Raw genomic sequence first — 19,533 nt, 5'->3', positions numbered from 1 at the left:
CATGCTTTGTTTGCATAGATTTTTTTAAAATAAGCTTTTCCAAATCATAAAGAGATAAGATCTTAGGTAACATGAAGAGACTCCCTTACTTATTCCTAAATCATCTATATTCCAAGGGCATTTTCTTATTTGGAACAGTTGACCTCACTGATAAAGCTGTCTCACCACTATAATAACAATGTCCAAAATCTAGGCTTTCTGCACTATTATGCAAAAATTACAATAATAAAAGTGAAAATTACATTATAATGGTATATTAAAATGCTAAGACTTTTGCATTATAAGCAAAAGACAGCCTTTAATAATTATTCTTTATTTAGTGAACATTTTCTAAGTCTTGGAAAAGGGTCAATGTTTTGAATTCATGGCCTTATATAATCTTCACAAGATTCCCCAGGAGGTATAGATATTTTTATTATTACGCTAGTATTGCAGATGAGGGAAGCAAGGCAGAGTGGTATTAAATAGCTGGCCCAAGGTCACTCAGGTACCAATGGAGAGGCATCATTAGTCTTTGCATCCCACTAAAGTTCTCCACTAGCTTCAATTGCCTCAAGATCTGTTCCATGTTCTATGAAGTAGTTTCAACAGAAATGGCAATTATCTTAGAAGCAAGGGAAAAATAAAAGATGGGCTTCCTGTCGGGTGCCTGTGACAGGTGTCACATCTAACCATGGTTTTTTAGAGCAGTTAATGCCTTGATAGAACAGATGAATGCCTCTTAATCCTCCTGGAATTCTTGTTTTAGATTAAGTCATTGTATACAGTCATTCGATTTTCTTCTTATGGTCCAAATCGATTAATAAGATGTCTCTTTTTGCTTTTTCTTCCTTTTCTTCATAGTCAACGAAGGCTTGAACCAACCTACGGATGACTCGTGCTTTGACCCCTACACAGTTTCCCATTATGCCGTTGGAGATGAGTGGGAACGAATGTCTGAATCAGGCTTTAAACTGTTGTGCCAGTGCTTAGGCTTTGGAAGTGGTCATTTCAGATGTGATTCATCTAGTGAGTAGTTGCTTTGTCCATCCACTTCCGTGTTTGTCTCCTCAAGTTCCATGCATGCACTCATGTGCCAAGGAAGCATGTTTGGAAGACACAGGTTCTTCCAAACATGAAGCAAACAAGAGAATACTGTTTGACTCGAAGTAATATTTTGCATCATAGAAAAATGATGGGAAATTTTACTTGTTGGACATTGCTTCATTTCAAGGGTTGTATGCCAATACAACTATTAATTACACATAAGATTATGGTGCTAATTTGATTTTTGAAATTTTCTGTGAAAACAAATGGATAAAGACTTTTGGAACCAGGTCTATTTAAGAGTATTAGAGACACAGAAAAACCTCAAATCTCTTTTAATCTTCAGTGTTGAATGAGATCAGAGGTGAACATTTAGACTCAAAAACAGCCTCCTTCAACATAAACCAAACATGCACATATCATAGTACCCATGCACACACTTTTGCGTCACACACATAGCCCAGGTAGCTTGAACGTTGCTAGAAATATGAAAGAAAAAACAGATAATCTGCTTTTAGATCATTAAAAATCAACTTGAATTGATAAATGTTTGATTTTCAAATTCTAATACGTTTTAATTTTCAAATTTTTTAAGTTAAAATGTGCCTAGGAAATATCTATTATGCTTTGAGATTAGGATTAGAATTTATAAACCTTTCATTTATTCTTTGTGTTTAGGAGATGTGATGATTATTGACAATTGGTTCATTTTTATAGGTGTTGACCGTTATGCCTATAAATAAGCCTCCTATAGACATACAGAAATCATATCCTGTGGAATTAGAATATAAGACTTGGTAAAAGAGATTTTCAAAGTATTTTACTTAACTTGTATACTTGAAATCATTTAATCCAGACTGAAGTTGTAAAAGCCAGCCAGTGTTTTCAATATAGACTTCCATGTTTGACCATCTGAAAATGAAAAACACTAAAAACATCACATGCTGTTTAGGAGCTGGAAATTTTAATATTTGACTTCAAGTAGATGGTTTTTAACTCCTGAAATCGAACTACGTTTAAGTTTGTATGTTTATTACCTGTTTGAGCACTTAGGTGCAATTGTGGGAGCGGGGATGTCAAGTTCATTTATGTGACTCTTTGGCTCAACTTACATAATCTTTGTTTTGATATCACAGTTGTCTAATTATTTTACTTTGTAGCTTAAGGCAGGCTGAATTGTTGATAAAATGGAAAAAGTAGTATATTGTTATATAAGCTTCTGAGGTGTGTTTTGTTGTATAAGCCCTGGAGGTTAAAAAGTCATCCCTTATGTATAGTAGTTAAAGGCATAAAACTGTGACTTTTAGATATTCCACAGAACCAGACTTATTTGATGTGGATAATAACCAATGATTTAGCATTTTGTTTGCTTTTGTTTTATTTTATCCGGGTTCATTTTTTACTCTTCCCATGTACATGAAACAGGTGGTGGCGTGTAGAGATCAGCTGATCCTTGTTTTATGGTTAATTGAACTACTTTGTATCCAGGGTTTCTGCAAATCCAAAAGTGATTTTTCATCTAGGATCTATTCCTAACAGTCTACTCCAATCCCACTTTAGTTTTCCACAATTTTAAATCTTAATAGTGAGAATTCAAATGAAAGTCATTTCATTTGACTATTCTGATGACATGATTGTGGCAGAATAAATTGGGTCTTAAAATGCCCTAGAAAATGGTAAATGATAAAAAATAATATTTTAAAATTCAACCAAAGAAATGGCCCATTGGCCAGGTGTGGTGGCTCACACCTGTAATCCCAGCACTTTTGGAGGCTGAGGCGGGTGGATCACCTGAGCTCACGAGTTTGAGACCAGCCTACCCAACATGGTAAAACCCCATCTCTACAAAAAATACAAAAAAAAAAAAAAAAAAAAAAATAGCACTGTGGGGAGTGCCTGTAATCCCAGCTACTCAGGAGGCTGAGGCAGGATAACTGCATGAACCCAGGAGATGGAGGTTACAGTGAGCCGAGATTGCACCACTTCACTCCAGTCTGGGCGACAGAGAAAGACTTTGTCTCAAAAAAAAAAAAAAAAATAAAAAGTAAATAAATAAATAAAATAAATGGCCCATTATAGGGGTTTTTATCTTTAACTTGCTATTTTTCCAGATCATGGTTCTGAAGACCCTGTGACACGTCCCAGTTCACCTACTGTCTTGTGAGTCAGAATATACAAATAACTTTTTGGTCCTGACTTTCCCCACCCCTACAGGATGGTGCCATGACAATGGTGTGAACTACAAGATTGGAGAGAAGTGGGACCGTCAGGGAGAAAATGGCCAGATGATGAGCTGCACATGTCTTGGGAACGGAAAAGGAGAATTCAAGTGTGACCCTCGTATGTCATCACAGATCATTTTTAGTGCCTTATTAAGCATTCTCACTTTCATTATCAGGCTGTAACTCTCATTCACAGAAATGATTGGAGACTTTAGGTCTCCTTGAGGAGTGAACAGTGGGTTTCTTAATCTTTTGATTTGGGAAAGTGGAGACAAGCTTCAAAAATGAGTCATGATTTAATGTTATTACAGGACACTTTAGCACTTGTCCAACCTGAGTATTTTGACCATTATCTGCAGTAAAATGCTACAAAGAAGCTTTATTGGTCTGTAGATTCAACTTTTAAAATATGATTTCCATCTTCCCGTTGGACCCTTTCCAGTGTATTAGGTCTAATTTTTGGAAGTGCCACCCTAAGATCTGTATAGCAGTACTGCTCTTAGGGATGATTCACATAAATATGTGGTGTTTGCGCTGTGATGATACAAATTTAGGACAGAAATAGAACCCACCCCTAGATCAAGTCTGCAGTATTGTTCTCAGCTTATGCGTGCATCTGTCTTGTGTCTATATGCAGATGAGGCAACGTGTTATGATGATGGGAAGACATACCACGTAGGAGAACAGTGGCAGAAGGAATATCTCGGTGCCATTTGCTCCTGCACATGCTTTGGAGGCCAGCGGGTAAGACTGGATGTGCCAGGCTCCCTACAAGTTAGATAAGATAAAGGGTGGGCTCCTGCAAGGATGTGTCGTACACACAGGAGGGGCAGAGACCCTTCGGAAGTATTAAAATACCACATTTCCTGTTGGCATACAACTGCTGACATAGAGCTCTAGAGCAGCTCTATGTCTACCTTACATGCCATTCATTCTTTCTATTACTCTTAGTAGAAAGAATGAATGAATGGCATGTAGAGTACCAAAAACACAAGTCTTGAGTCATTCTTAATAGCAACACCTGTCATTTATATGATGTTAGAATCATTTTCCTAAGCTCCCTAGCATGTCAGAGATACTATTTACACTGAAAAATAGTGAAGCAGAGATACTATTCAAATTAATTAGTGGTAAATAGAATGTGTTTCATTTCAGCCGGTTCTCCCCATCCTGGGCAGCCTGAGACCCTCCCCTCCCCTACTATTCTCAGGCTGCTTCTATTTTTCAGCAAAGTGTTAAGTGCAGTGTAGCTCTAGGCCTCCAACTCCATTCTGATGGACAGGTGTCCCATGGCAACGTTGTTAAATATTTTGAATAATATCTCAGATGTAAGAAAATGCCACTTCTTTTAACCTCTCTCTTGATTCAGAACAGATGCTTGTTATAGGTCTAGCACTGTGCTAAGTAGTATAGGAAAAACAGAGGAAATGAGAAATGGCTTGGCTCTTAATGATATAGTTGAAGATGTTAAATTAGCATACATTTCAAAGTCAAGCTAATTAAGTTCTAAGTGGGTCTGACAAATACAGTTCTGGGTAGGCTGGAATTAGCAAGAAAGAGAAGCATGAACTGGCTGAGGTTTACGATGACTAAGGTTTAGTTGGGAGGGGAGAAAGCAGAGAGACACACCCCCTGGGATAGAAAGGAGCTGGCCCAGGTGGGCTTTGGTGAGCCAACCCTCTGCCTGCTGTCTTCTGGTAAGAAAATAGATGGGAAGAAGTGGCTTATGGAGGGCCTTGGCAACCCATTATTTAAGCCAGTACTTCTCAACCATTTCTAAAATATGCCCAGTATAACAAAAAATAATAAGCCTTTCTCTAATATGATTTCAAATTTCAAAATGAAATTATGTGTAACTCAAAAGCAATGGAATGTGACAGCCCTTTGTTTTCAACGAAGACATGCCCTCCCAGCAACTCCCCAAATCCTGGTGGGTGAGGGGCATGCTTCACACTCAAGGGTGAGACTCATTGGTTAATGCCAAATGCATTAACCAATTACAGGTATCCAAGATGCAAAGAAACATGATGGAAAATAGTCTTTGGGAAAATTAATCTGGCAGCAGGGGTGTTCAGGGGCCTGTCTTGGCTCCACCAGGGGCAGCCCATGGAAACTACTATGATCTTGTTTCACCCCCAGTGATTACATGGGGAGGGAGGTGCTCCCAATTCTGATGGAGGAGAATTGGAGATTGGAATTTAGATTGAATTCAGTATCTCTCTCTGTCTCTCTCTCTCTCTCTCTCCCATTAACACTTACAACGACTGTGATTGTATGACCTTAGAACTCAGTCATTCTGGTATGAAATTGTGTGATGGAGAATGAATTTGCTGGGAAGTTGATTTTGGTCTCACTTCAGCATCTTCTCATTATTTATGCACATGAAACCTTTCATGTGCGACACTTATTCTATTCTCAAGTGCTAAATGAAACATTTAAGACAGGAGTGGAAACTGTTCACTTTCTCATATGAAAGCAAGATTCAGTGATTCTGTAAGGAGGTAGTCACTGGTATTGTGTTAGGTATTAAGGGGCATATGTGCTTAAACAGAGAAATATGTCTAAAATATTTAAATTCTAATATAAAAAAGAAAGTGACTGTATTATTTAGGGCTGCATTTTAGTTGTAAGAAAAAAGTCCAACTCAAGCAAAAATGGCCCACACAATGGAACAGTCCCAGGACCCACCGGCTTCAGGGGCTGCTCCAGCAATGGCGCCCGGACTCCCTCTTGCTCCGCGTGCCTTCCCATGCACTGGCTTCGTGCTTCAGCGGGGTCTCTGCTGATGGTGCCATTGATGACTGACCTCCATGAGCTTGCTTTACCCCCTGCCAGCTTAAGAACAGTAGTGAAAGAGAACATGTGTGTCCTCCCATTTCCAGTAAAAACTTCAGGCAGGAGCCTCACTGGCTCAGCTTGGTCCCGTTTCCATCTCCCATGCCATCTCCGGCCAGGTGACAGGCTACCATGTCACTGCCTAGGGAAGTTTAGGAAGAGAGTGGCAAAGTGGTGCATTAGAAAGAACATGGCCAGGTCACCCCACCTCCTGGGCGGCAGGCCCAACTCCACCAGTGGTCCACTGTGTGACTTCCCTGCTCCCTCTAAGCAAGTCACTCCTCTCCTCTGGGTCTCTGTTTCCTTACCTATAAAATGAGAACGTTTCTTCATGTGATCTCAAGTCCCTTTTAAAATCGCTAGGATTCTTTGAAAACCTTTTCTATCATCTAGTGCAGAGAACTTGTTGAGGAAGTTGGGATTGGAATGAGCCTCAGCAGATGGGCAAGGTTTGAATAGGAAGAGAAGAGACATTTCAGGAGAAAGAAACAACATAGAGAGACAGATGTAGGTATAAGATATGGTAATAAGCCAAAATGTATTAAGAGTTATAAATGCATGAAATCATCATCAAAGCTTGCTTAGTGATTAACTGCTTATATTTTGCCAGTGCATATGATGTGACATTTTTCTTTAACTCAAACACTAAATTACGATGTCCTCAGGTTATCATAAACCCCATTTGACTTCATGCCTCTACTCTCTCAGGGCTGGCGCTGTGACAACTGCCGCAGACCTGGGGGTGAACCCAGTCCCGAAGGCACTACTGGCCAGTCCTACAACCAGTATTCTCAGAGATACCATCAGAGAACAAACACTGTAAGTGCATTAGCAGCACAAGTGTGTTCCCTCATACTAGACAGTCTCTTTCTACAGGTATCTTTCTTCAGAATGAACCAAGTGTTTTAATTAATTAAAAAAAAAAACAACTCATAAATGACTTAAGTGAAACACTGTATTCCATAATATAGTTTAAGTTATAATTTATGTAACTCTTGAACATCTCCTATTGCCCAGTATGCTGCTAGGTTCTTGAAACTAGGAAGAAATATTATCCTATCTATAAGCAGCTGTCATGAGTCCCCACCTCCCCGCATTTTTTTTTCTGTACACTTTACAGTATTTGCCACTAATTTTTTTTTCCTTCTTCCTTTTTAACAGAATGTTAATTGCCCAATTGAGTGCTTCATGCCTTTAGATGTACAGGCTGACAGAGAAGATTCCCGAGAGTAAATCATCTTTCCAATCCAGAGGAACAAGCATGTCTCTCTGCCAAGATCCATCTAAACTGGAGTGATGTTAGCAGACCCAGCTTAGAGTTCTTCTTTCTTTCTTAAGCCCTTTGCTCTGGAGGAAGTTCTCCAGCTTCAGCTCAACTCACAGCTTCTCCAAGCATCACCCTGGGAGTTTCCTGAGGGTTTTCTCATAAATGAGGGCTGCACATTGCCTGTTCTGCTTCGAAGTATTCAATACCGCTCAGTATTTTAAATGAAGTGATTCTAAGATTTGGTTTGGGATCAATAGGAAAGCATATGCAGCCAACCAAGATGCAAATGTTTTGAAATGATATGACCAAAATTTTAAGTAGGAAAGTCACCCAAACACTTCTGCTTTCACTTAAGTGTCTGGCCCGCAATACTGTAGGAACAAGCATGATCTTGTTACTGTGATATTTTAAATATCCACAGTACTCACTTTTTCCAAATGATCCTAGTAATTGCCTAGAAATATCTTTCTCTTACCTGTTATTTATCAATTTTTCCCAGTATTTTTATACGGAAAAAATTGTATTGAAAACACTTAGTATGCAGTTGATAAGAGGAATTTGGTATAATTATGGTGGGTGATTATTTTTTATACTGTATGTGCCAAAGCTTTACTACTGTGGAAAGACAACTGTTTTAATAAAAGATTTACATTCCACAACTTGAAGTTCATCTATTTGATATAAGACACCTTCGGGGGAAATAATTCCTGTGAATATTCTTTTTCAATTCAGCAAACATTTGAAAATCTATGATGTGCAAGTCTAATTGTTGATTTCAGTACAAGATTTTCTAAATCAGTTGCTACAAAAACTGATTGGTTTTTGTCACTTCATCTCTTCACTAATGGAGATAGCTTTACACTTTCTGCTTTAATAGATTTAAGTGGACCCCAATATTTATTAAAATTGCTAGTTTACCGTTCAGAAGTATAATAGAAATAATCTTTAGTTGCTCTTTTCTAACCATTGTAATTCTTCCCTTCTTCCCTCCACCTTTCCTTCATTGAATAAACCTCTGTTCAAAGAGATTGCCTGCAAGGGAAATAAAAATGACTAAGATATTAAAAGTATTTGAATAGTATAATATGGAGGAGTTTTATCTTAGGGAAACCCCATGGTATGATAACCCCCATCTAACATGTCTTACTTTGGGTCAGCTGACACTTTTGGCATGGCTTGATAAACTCCCAGCTAAACAGTTTGTTTACTCCTGATCTGTAAAGGTCATTTCTTTTTCAATTTAACATTGAGGAAACAAACTTTGGGATTAAATTTGACATTCAGGCCAGGCGCAGTGGCTCACACCTCTAATCCCAGCACTTTGGGAGGCTGAGGCAGGTGGATCACCTGAGGTCAGGAGTTTGAGACCAGCCTGGCCAACATGGTGAAACCTTGTCTCTATTAAAAATACAAATGTTACCAGGCATGGCAGTGGGCGTCTTTGGTCCCGGCTACTCAGAAGGCTGAGGTAGGAGAATGGCTTGAACCCAGAAGGCGGAGGTTGCAGTGAGCTGAGATTGTGCCATTGAACTCCAGCATGGGGGACAGAGCAAGACTCCATCCCAAAAAACATAAATAAATAAATGTGACATTCAGAATAGTAAATAGTGGAAATGGAAATAATTATTAGTAAAAAATTAGTAGTTCATAATAAACAAGACATGCAAAGCACTTTTTAAATATACTAATGTACAATGAAAGAAGGTATTTCAATAAACACCTGGCAAAGAATATTAAAACTAAATACAGAAAGATACTTCCTCATGTTCATTTGAAAAAAAAAAATACTAACTCCCATTTGAATTGATTTACAGTTTATAAAATGCTTTGACATTTAGCTATCTCATTTAGGGGAGGTTTTAGAGCTTAATTTTACAGGGCATGAAGCTCAGATGAGGTTTCCTTAGCGAAATACAGACCCAGCCCCTGGACTTCTATTTATTACTGATCTTTAAGCTTTATCAGCCCAATAGTCACCAAGAGAGCTGCTCTGTATGTTTTTTAAAAATCACAGAAAGTACAAAATAAAGGTGATATTAAACGACTGTCTCACATATGTCGGTCATCACTGCACCCTGGAGAGAGAACGTCATCTCGATGCCAATCTACACACTGTGGGAAGGGACAACCCCCTGAGACACATGTGCTGCAAAAAGTAAGCTGATGCTTCCATATTCATAGGTGAGCTGGTAAAGCAGGCCCTTCATCTGAATCTTGCTTAAAGCCTTGATATCTAAAAACATAAGGAAAGAGCAGCTTTAGGTTGAGACTGATGATGCTTCAAACCACTTGCCTAACTACAAACCTAAAAATATTTACCCTAAAATGCAGTGTAAGGGCCGGGAAGGGTGGTTCACACCTGTAATCCCAGTACTTTGAGGCGCCGAGGTGGGAGGGTTGCTTGAGCTCGGGAGTTCAAGGCCAGTCTGGGTAACATAGCGAGACCCCTGTCTCTACAAAAAATAAAACAATTAGCCAGGCATGGTGGCACATGCCTGTGGTCCCCATAACTCGGGAGACTGAGACAGGAGAATCGTTTGAACCCAGGAGGCGGAGGTTGCAGCGAGTCAAGATTGTGCTATTGCACTCCAGCATGGGCGACAGAGTGAGACTTCGTCTCAAAAATAAAAAATTTAAAAAATGCAGTTTAGGCAAATACAGTTGGACTGTATTAACTAAATGGATAGCAAGCCCCTTTACTTTTATGTTGAAATGTAAAAAACCTCAAGTTCCCCACTTAAGGTCAGGAAAAATGCCACCTTTTCCAAAATGTCTGTTGGATTCTCCAAAGTGATACATTAAATTTATGAAGTAAACGAATAGCAAATTAAACACATTTACAAGGCCTTTTCTTTTAGCATCACAATGCAAGAATGATGAAACTTTCTTTTGTACTGATCATTTCTCAGCAAATAGCATAGTATAGAGTTTTGTCTTGGGGAAACCCCATTGTATGATAACCCCAATCTAATGTGTCTTACTTTGTGTCAGCTGACACTTTTAGCATGGCTTGATAAGCTCCCAGCTAAACAGTTTGTTTACTCCTGATCTCAAACAGGAGAACCAACTATTTCCAAAGATCTTTTGCCGTTTTTATTGATTCAGGTTATTGCTTCCCCCGAGAATTGTTTTAAGCGGGCAAGATTGAAAAGGCATTACTAAAAGAAAAATCTATATTTAGGCAAGAAATCAACAATGCAAGAAAAATTAGGTAAAACTAGTAAATGTTAATCAGACTTTAAAAAGAAATATCATCGTTTTAAAGTTTTACATTGCCTTGCTACACTTGATTTGTAATAAAATGTTACATTTTATATTGTTTTCAGCTCTAATAATCTAAGTGAATTATGCAAATAAGTCTGTATAATAACATCACTATACACCTGTAGGGCACCCTTTCTATGGAGGTGAATAAAGAAATGATCAGGGGGAAATTACAAGTACAGGAAATGACTTTTCTATTTAATTATATTTCCATTGAAACTTCTATTCCATTTCTAGTGGTATGAAACTCATTAAAGTGATTAAGAAACATCACATCAGCACATTTAAGTGCTCAAATTGCTTCCTATTTAGTAAGTTCCCATTACTGTGATAGGGAATGTGGCAGGTTACAATTAAAAAATCCCATTTTCAAGGGAGACAATTCAACTCTTAAGAAAAAAAAAAAAAGACCGCTGTTGGGACTTCCCATGTTTGGAAACATTTAAAGATTACCATTAAGGCTGATAAAGCAGAAGAAACACAAAGATGACCTTGCAGAAACTAAGGAAGTTTTTTCAAAATACTTGAAATGCACGTTGTTTTCATTATCACATCGTCTCACTCCATATCCTCATTAAAATAAAAGATTCAACTTGAATTGCAAACAGAAACCTATATAAATTACAAATGAAGAAAAGATGTAATAAAAGAGCAAGAGAAACAGGGCTTCAGCCGAAAGTCCCAAATGGGAAATTCCTTTTTTAACATTCCTCAGTAGAGTCAGGTATGAGATATTAAAGCATGTTTTACATTTCCTTGAATTCCTTTTTACTTACTCTTTAGAGACATACAGGTTTTAACAATCTCAGGAGCCAAATTTATCTCTAAAACAGCTCATGTGGAGCCCCCAAAGGATTGAAACTAGCATTGGTTGAAGCTGTACGAGGCAGCCAGCCCAGAATGATGGACTGGGGCTGGCGTCAAGTGCCCTGAAGCTACCCAGCAGAGCAGGCTCCCTTAGGCAAGATACATCAAAGGCCAAGGAGTCTCCCATTGGGCCCTTTGCAACTTGGTACTTTGTAAATGGCCATTTCATTCTAGAATGAAGCACTGCCTTTGCCAGGAGACTGCTGGACAAGACTTTACAATGAAACATGCCCATCTCTGTAATTCAGCTTCAGATGTAAGATGCTGAGCCAAGTGCTGGAAAGCTATTTTTGACTCAAAAATGTACGGCGATGGTGGAGCAACTGGAACCCTCATTCATCGCTGGTGGAAATGTAAAACGGTGCGGCTGCTGTGGGAAACAGCCTGGCAGCTCTTCAAAACGTTAAACAGTTACCATACGACTTCACAGTTCCATTCCTAGATATATACTCGAGAGAACAGAAAACATATGTTCACACAAAAACTTGCACACAGATGTTCATAGCAGCATCATTCATAGTAGCCAAACACGGAAACAACCCAATGTCCATCGACTAATGAATGGATCAACAAAATGTGGTATATCCATATAATGAAATATCTGACCATAAAAGGAATGTACATGCTGCAATATAAACCTTTAAAATATTATGCTAAGTTGAAGCCAGACACGAAAGAGCACATATTATGTGATCCAATTTAGGCAAAATGTCCAGAATGGGCAAATCCATAGAAACAAAAGGTAGATTTATGGTTGCCAGGGGCTGGGGCGAAGGGGAAATGGACAGTGATGGCTAAGAGTTAACTTTTGGGGTGATGAAAATTTTATGGAACTAGATAATGGTGATTGTTGCACAATTGTGTGAATATACTGAAAACTGCTGAACAATACGCTTTAAAATGGTTAAGATGGTGAATTTTACGTTACATAAATTTTATCTTAAAAAATGCCACTTCAGTTATAGAAAATCTAATTTTTGCTCCTTCATGAGGAAGAGATGTGGGGTAAGAGTAGATGAAGGCTGAAGGAACTCAGAAACTTTGTGGCTACCAATTTGGAACCTGAAACAAAATTATCCATAAATAGACATCATTTTTCATAGTAATTTCCATAGGTTATCTTCCACTAGTTCCTATGCTTCCATATACACAAAAGCATTATGAAAAGAATAATCAGCATCTTTTTGAAACAGTATTTATCGTGACTCAGGTGGTATTTTAAGTGCCCGCAATATTTTGTCTCATTTGCTCTTCAGAGCAACTCTAAGACGTCAGTATTGTTCTCATCTCATTCTACAAATTGAAAGTGCGGGAAAGGCAATGTGAATCACTAAACATCACATAGCTTGTAAGTAGGAGAACTGGGACTCGAACCTGATAGACTAGCACCAGAATATGTGCTTTCAGCCAGAAGCTATTCAGCCTTTTGGAGGAGTGAATCCATCCCCATTTTACAGAAGAATCAAACTCCAAGAGGGTTAAGCTATGTGCCCAAGATTGCCCACCTACTGACTGGCAAAACAAGGTACTGATTATCCTAAGAGGCACAAAGACAATTTCCTCGAGGGAAAGATGGAGCCGTAATCAAGCACAGGAATGTGGGGGCCTTCTAGCAAAATCTCCTTCTTGACCTGGTTGGTGGTGACACAGGTGTTTGCATAAAAATTATACTTTAAATGGTAAAAGTTTCATGCACTTTTCTATATGCCTACTTCATTACAATTTCTTTTAAAGATAAATTTGTGCCTGGCACAGTGTTTGGCAAAAATAAGGTATAAAAATGTCCATGAATGGAAAGCACTGCGAGCTTAAAGACCTGCAGGGTTCTGTGCTCTGAGGAAGGGACATAGGCTGGGCTTTAGAAAGGTGGCCTGGAGAGAAGCAGGTGTCAAAGGGCAAGGCAACGGGAGGAAGAATGGAGGATCCCTTTCATGGACTGTTTTCTCCCTGTGCCCAGGGGATCCCCCAATAGAAATACACTCAGTATTGGTCAGGACGTTGTTACATTATGGATCTTCTGTCCTTCTGCTGGAAACAACAGACATAAGATCATTATGCATTTCACTTAAACACCAGTGAAACTCCACTCTTGACGTTTCGAATGATTGAATTATACTAGACATATATATGTTAATGGGGTTCCAGTGCCAGACCCTCCCAAAGTGCTCAACTTCCTTGGTTACTGGCTACCTCCACCAAGATTAACTTGAGTACATATAAAGGAAAACACCACCTCACAGAGCAAAATATGAGGAACCCAGGAGTAAGCTTGCATGTGAGGGGTGGCACTTTGGCTTAAGGCAGGACACTGCTTTTTTTGGCATAACACAGGGAAGTGAGACAGTAAAATGAGAAAGGAGCTGTTGACAGCCCTAAACTGAGTCGTTTTCCAGAGTGAAGAATGGTTGCTCTTATTGCTTGGGTGCTCCTCCCCGGGGTTCATTCAATCCTGTCCTTCATGAACCCCTTGGGGCTGGCGAGGAGTGCATCAGCTGGGCTGTCTCAAGCACACGCTGCTGGGTAGCCAATGTTAGTCAGGGAAAATGAGCTCACAGGCCAACATACCACAACACTTGAGTAAAGAGACTTTAAAAGAATAGTAACATACTAGATTACAGATCCTAACAGAAGTAGAAATAGTAAAACAAAGCTAGAAAGATGATACCAACAATTGGAAAAGAAAACCAGAAATATTTGAAGGGAAAAATAAAACTCCTGAAATAAAGGGCTCAATAGACAGGACACACAGCAGAATGGATACATTGTAGGAATTCATGAGAAAATTAGAAGACCAGACTAAAGAAATCTCCTGGAGGGACGAATAAAGAAAATGAAATATAAAATATAAAAGAAAGGCTAAGAGATATAGGAATTGCTTAGAAATGCTAACATTTGGATAAAAAACAGAAGAAATGGGAGAGAGGAAATATTAGCACAAAGAACAGAAATAAATTTCCTAGAATGAAAAACCCAGAGTGCCAACAAAGGGAAATACAAATAACACCCACACCTAAACACATTATAGAAGCTTGAAAATACCCAGGAAAAAATTAGTTTCCTGAGAAGGCATGGTGGCTCACACCTGTAATCCCAGCACTTTGGGAGGCTGAGGCGGGTAAATCACCTGAGGCCAGGAGTTCAAGACCAGCCTGGACAACATGGTGAAACCCTCATCTCTACTAAAAATACAAAAATTGGCCGGGTGTGGTGGTGCACACCTGTGGTCCCCAGCTACTCGGGAGGCTGAGGCATGAGAATCGCTTGAACCATGGAGGCAGAGGCTGTGGTGAGTGGAGATCACACCACTGCACTCCAGCCTGGGCATCGGCAACAGGGAACGACTCTGTCTCAAAAAAAAAGTTTCCTGACAAGGAACAAGAACCAGATTGACATCAGATTTTAAATAAACAATGGATGCAATAAAAAACCAAACAGTGTTTTCAAAGTATTAAAGAATTTAAAACCCAGAATTGTAAGCATAGCCAAAATGAATTCAAATATACAAGCATGATAAAAATATCCTTAGTTGGCCAGGTGCAGTGGCTCATGCCTGTAATCCCAGCACTTTGGAAGGCCGAGGCGGGCAGATCACTTGAGGTCAGGAGTTCGAGACCAGCCTGGCTAACATTCTGAAACCCCATCTCTACTAAAAGTACAAAAATTAGCTGGGTGTGGTGGCGTGCACCTATAATCCCAGCTACTCAAGAGGTTGAGGCAGGAGAATCAATTGAACCTGGGAGGTGGAGGTTGCAGTGAGCTGAGAGCATGCCATTGCACTCCAGCCTGGGCCACATGAATGAAAATCTGTCTCAAAAAACAAAACAACAACAACAACAACAAAACCTTAGACATGTAAGATCTCAGAAGCTTCATCACACAGACACTGCACACAGTTAACACAAGAGGAGAAACTGGAGGCACTGCAATAGATAGATGAAGTGAAGGTAAACACAAACCTTAGAAAGTCTGGTCTTAAAAAATAGGCTAAGTGAAAATGTGACCCCAAGTCCAGGAATCAACAGGAGTTTGGAATGGGGTGGGGTAGGTAGGGGTGATGGGGGAGAAACTGGGAGTTAAAGCTTTTAGCTTATTAGGGGGGAAATACAACCGTACATTCAAAACAATGTCAAGGAAGGAAATAAAAGTGGGTCAAACTTTACAGGATAGTAAAAATAGGCCTCAAATGTATCAATAATTGAATACAAATAGGCTGAGCGCAAAGGGAAAGGTTCACAAAATGCATTAAAGAAAACTCAAAACCAAAAGCAATAATAACTTTAAACATGGTCCGTGTTTTTAACCTCAAATATATAGGAAGTGAACATTTATAAACCTGCAGGAAGAAATTGGAAAACTCATCCTCATGGAGGGAAGTCTCAAAACCTTTTTCTAAATTCTCAACAAATCAAACTAAAAAAATTTACATAACTACGGCTATCAATGTGTAAGAAAGGAGCAGAGGCACAAATTAAACGACATCACAGGAATGCAAGGGCACAGCCCAGCACGTGGGAACTATGAGACCAAAAATCTTCAGTCAATCGACTGCAAGAAAAAAATCTAAAGAGGAGAAACCAGGTGTTGAAGATACTTGAGACATGCCAATCAAATGCAATGATGTACCAGGCTTGGGTTGCACAATCAAAAAACTGAAAGAAAAAAAAAATTAGCCATTGGGAGAGATCTAAAGGTGACTGGGTATTTGATATTCAAAATGACTTATCCTTTTAGTATGATACTTGAATGTGGTTATATACTTTTTAAAATAGGCTTTTTATTTTCTAATAGTTTAATTTTTTTTTTTTCTTGAGATGGAGTCTTGCTCTGTTGCCCAGGCTGAAGTGCAGTGGAGTGATCTCAGCTCACTGCAAGCTCTGCCTCCCAGGTTCAAGCAATTCTCCTGCCTCAGCCTCCCAAGTAGGTGGAATTACAGGCAGACACCACCACACCTGGCTAATTTTTGTAATTTTAGTAGAGACGGGGTTTCACTATGTTGGCCAGGCTGGTCTCGAACTCCTGACCTCAGGTGATCCACCCACCTCGGCCTCCCAAAGTGCTGGGATTACAGGTGTGAACCACCATGCCCGGCCTATTTTCTGAGTTTTAGATTTATAGAAAAAATTGTGAGGATACATCACACCTAATTTCCCCTTTTATTAGTATTTTACATTAGCATGGTACATTTATTACAATTAGTGAACCAATATTGATACATATTAACTAAACACTTTAGATTTTCTTAGTTTTTACCTAATGTCCTTTTTTTGTTCCAGGATGCTATCCAGGACACCACACTGCATTTACTCACCACATCTCCTTAGGCCCTTCTAGGCATGAAAGTTTCTCATGCTTCTCTTTTTGATGATCTTGACAGTAGGAAGGTATTTTGTAAAGTCCTTCGGCTAGGTTATATCTGATGTTTTTCTCATGATTAAGCTGAGAGTACAGGGTTTTGGAAAGAAGACCAAAAAGGTAAAGTGCTATTCTCCTATTTTGAGGTATTTCCTAGCAACATGACACTATTGACGTTGACCTTGATCATCTGGCTGAGAAAGTGTCAGTTTTCTCCACTGTAGTTACTATTTTATTCCCATTTCTATACTCTCCTCTTTGAAAGCAAGTCACTGTGTACAGGCCACACTTAAGGACTGGGAGTTATACCCCTCAGTAGAGTATTGATGTAAATTACCTAGAATTCTTCTGCATGGGAGTTGCATATTCTCCACTTATTTATTCTTCATCTATGTGAAGAATACTACAAACAGGAGCCACCATGCCCAGCTAATTAAAATTTTCTCTTTTTTTAGAGATGAGGATGTCGCTATGTTGCCCAGGCTGGTCTTGAACTCCTGGCCTCAAGCAATCCTCCCAAAGTGCTGGGATTATAGACAGGAGACACAGTGCTCAGCCTGTTCCCATTATCATACCCTTAATGTTAACCTTTGGTCAAGCCAAAGAACCATGAAAAAGACAACACACACTTAATTTACAAGCCAAAATCTGTATTAGCTATTTACTGCTACATAATTACCCCAGAACTTTGTGGCTTAACAACAGTATGCATCTCTCTGTATCTGTGGGTCAGGAATTCAAGAGCTCTTTTGGGCAGTTCTGGCTCAGGTCTCTGAAGAGGTTGAAGCCAGATGTTGCCTGGGACTGAAGCTGGAGGATCCACCTCTGAGATGGCTCACTCATGTGGCTGGCAACTAGTGTAAGCAAGATGGCGTCTCTCCTTGTGGAGGGCTGCTTAACTCTTACAACGTGGTCTTGGCTTATCCCAGAGGAAGTAATCCAAGAAACTAAGGCTGAAGTTGCAATGTATTAGGACCTAGCCTCAAAAGTCTTATTTTTTCTGCAGTATTTTACTGATCACACAAGTCAGCCTTGTTTCAATGTGGGCAGGTCCTAGGCCAGGGCTGGAAGATTAGCTTAACCAGAAATAACTTAGAAAGATGACCATTAAGAAAAAACTTCAGAAATTTTTATTTAGCAAGGGGATAAGTTAAAGACTTGGGAAGAGGGTAGGACTCATTGGTAAAGGTGAACAATGGCAAAGGGTTTTAGTTGAACACAGGTGCAATGCACGGGAATGGTCAGGAGCACACAGGCAGGACACACAGATGCACAGGTCTGTCCTGATGAAGGAAGGCACTGCCCTCCCACTGTGCCCACTGTAGTGATTAAGCCTGTAATTGGAATATTGGGTACAATTTCTGAGCACCAAATATTGACTACATTTTTATGCAGCTCCAGAGGGTGAATCTCGGGCTGCTGAAATTCTGGGAAACATTTCACTTAGCACTGAGAAAAATATACATCAGATTATCCATAGAGGGGGTCAACAAGACTTAAACCAATCCCCTCTAAGGTTCCAGTTCACAGGTGCCAATCTGCTGTTTGTTTGGAAAGTAGACAACCAAGCTTCTCAGAAGTGTGATTAAAAATAAATGGCATGAGGGCCGGGCACGGTGGCTCACGCCCGTAATCCCAGCACTTTGGGAGGCCAGGGCGGGTGGATCATGAGGTCAAGAGTTCGAGACCAGCCTGACCAACATGGTGAAACCCTGTCTCTACTAAATACAAAAATTAGCCAGGCATGGTGGCACATGCCTGTAGTCCCAGCTACTCAGGAGACTGAGGCAGGAGAATCGCTTGAACCCGGGAGGCGGAGGTTGCAGTGAGCCAAGACGGTGCCACGGACTCTAGCCTGAGTGACAGAGCTATTTTTTTGAGACTCCCTCTCAAAATAACAAATTAAAAAAATGAAAAACAAACAAACAAAAACGGCATGAGAAGACTCCCCTAGGAGGCAACATGGACCTTTAATATACAACTCCCATGCAGAAGAATTCTAGGTAATTTACATCAATACTCCACCTTTAAGATGGGTATAACTCCCAGTCCTTAAGTGTGGCCTGTACACAGTGACTTGTGCCATGTCCTCTGGCTGCTCAGCTCGTTTGGTTCCTGCTAATGTTTATGTTTCACACGGGCAGTGCTGTGGGATGGGCTGAGCTCCGGTAGGCAGGGGTGCTCTGGAATTCCTCATTTATGTGTTATGTGTCATGTGTCAGTTCAAAGAGCCTGCATCTTTAACATAAAACACAACTACCAAAAACTATGGATCCAGTGATTAAGAGATACTGTTTTATTTTTTTAAAAAGTTATCCTCAAAGTTTCAGGCGTGACTGTTCACCTACACATAAGCAAGCCAAAAAACAGTGTGTGGTAAAATCAGTGGTGGAAGAGCCGAAGGTTCGTATGAGCGAGGATGATTCCCAGTTCGTCGCAGGCCTCAATCACAACTTTGTCAGCAGCAGAACCGGAGGGAGCCGCAATGTACGCCACACCACTCTGGGGGAAGTATATTGATTTTCAAAACGCGATTTTATGTAAAAACCTGCAAAACTCAAAATCCCCCTCTAAAAAGCATATGCTAACAAAGATACACTCAGTCAAAAAGGCAAAATAACAACAGGATTTGGGTTCTCCATCCACCCAATGGAGAAGTCAAATGGTTCTCTGAATATTACTGATCTGTATCACTTTGCC

The 19,533-nt window shown here is 39.8% G+C and overlaps 2 protein-coding genes across 24 annotated transcripts in view; one reads left to right on the top strand and one right to left on the bottom strand.

Annotated features, from left to right (window-relative positions):
• The window catches only part of FN1 (fibronectin 1), a 75,204-nt gene extending 67,198 nt beyond the window's left edge, over positions 1-8,006 (top strand). For all 17 annotated transcript variants that reach the window (NM_212474.3, NM_001306132.2, NM_001365523.2 and 14 more), the window contains 5 exons: positions 844-1,008; positions 3,241-3,366; positions 3,886-3,992; positions 6,792-6,902; positions 7,245-8,006. In NM_212474.3, the coding sequence (NP_997639.2) occupies positions 844-1,008; positions 3,241-3,366; positions 3,886-3,992; positions 6,792-6,902; positions 7,245-7,316 (581 nt within the window). In that variant the 3' untranslated portion in view covers positions 7,317-8,006. The remainder of the gene's footprint in view (positions 1-843; positions 1,009-3,240; positions 3,367-3,885; positions 3,993-6,791; positions 6,903-7,244) is intronic.
• The window catches only part of ATIC (5-aminoimidazole-4-carboxamide ribonucleotide formyltransferase/IMP cyclohydrolase), a 56,534-nt gene continuing 37,279 nt past the window's right edge, over positions 279-19,533 (bottom strand). For 2 of the 7 annotated variants that reach the window (XM_047444489.1, XM_047444491.1), the window contains exons 16-17: positions 16,790-16,917; positions 279-6,225 (exon numbers count right to left, since the gene is read on the bottom strand). In XM_047444489.1, coding sequence (XP_047300445.1) covers positions 6,219-6,225; positions 16,790-16,917 — 135 coding nt within the window. In that variant the 3' untranslated portion in view covers positions 279-6,218. Of the gene's footprint in view, positions 6,226-7,966; positions 9,584-16,789; positions 16,918-19,106; positions 19,336-19,533 lie in introns of those variants that run through there. The other 5 variants (XR_007075419.1, XR_007075418.1, XM_047444490.1 and 2 more) reach the window with 5 other exon arrangements.

This window comes from Homo sapiens, chromosome 2, assembly GCF_000001405.40.
Source record: "Homo sapiens chromosome 2, GRCh38.p14 Primary Assembly".
Lineage (NCBI taxonomy): Eukaryota > Metazoa > Chordata > Mammalia > Primates > Hominidae > Homo > Homo sapiens.
This window is presented reverse-complemented; position numbering and strand designations above follow the sequence as displayed.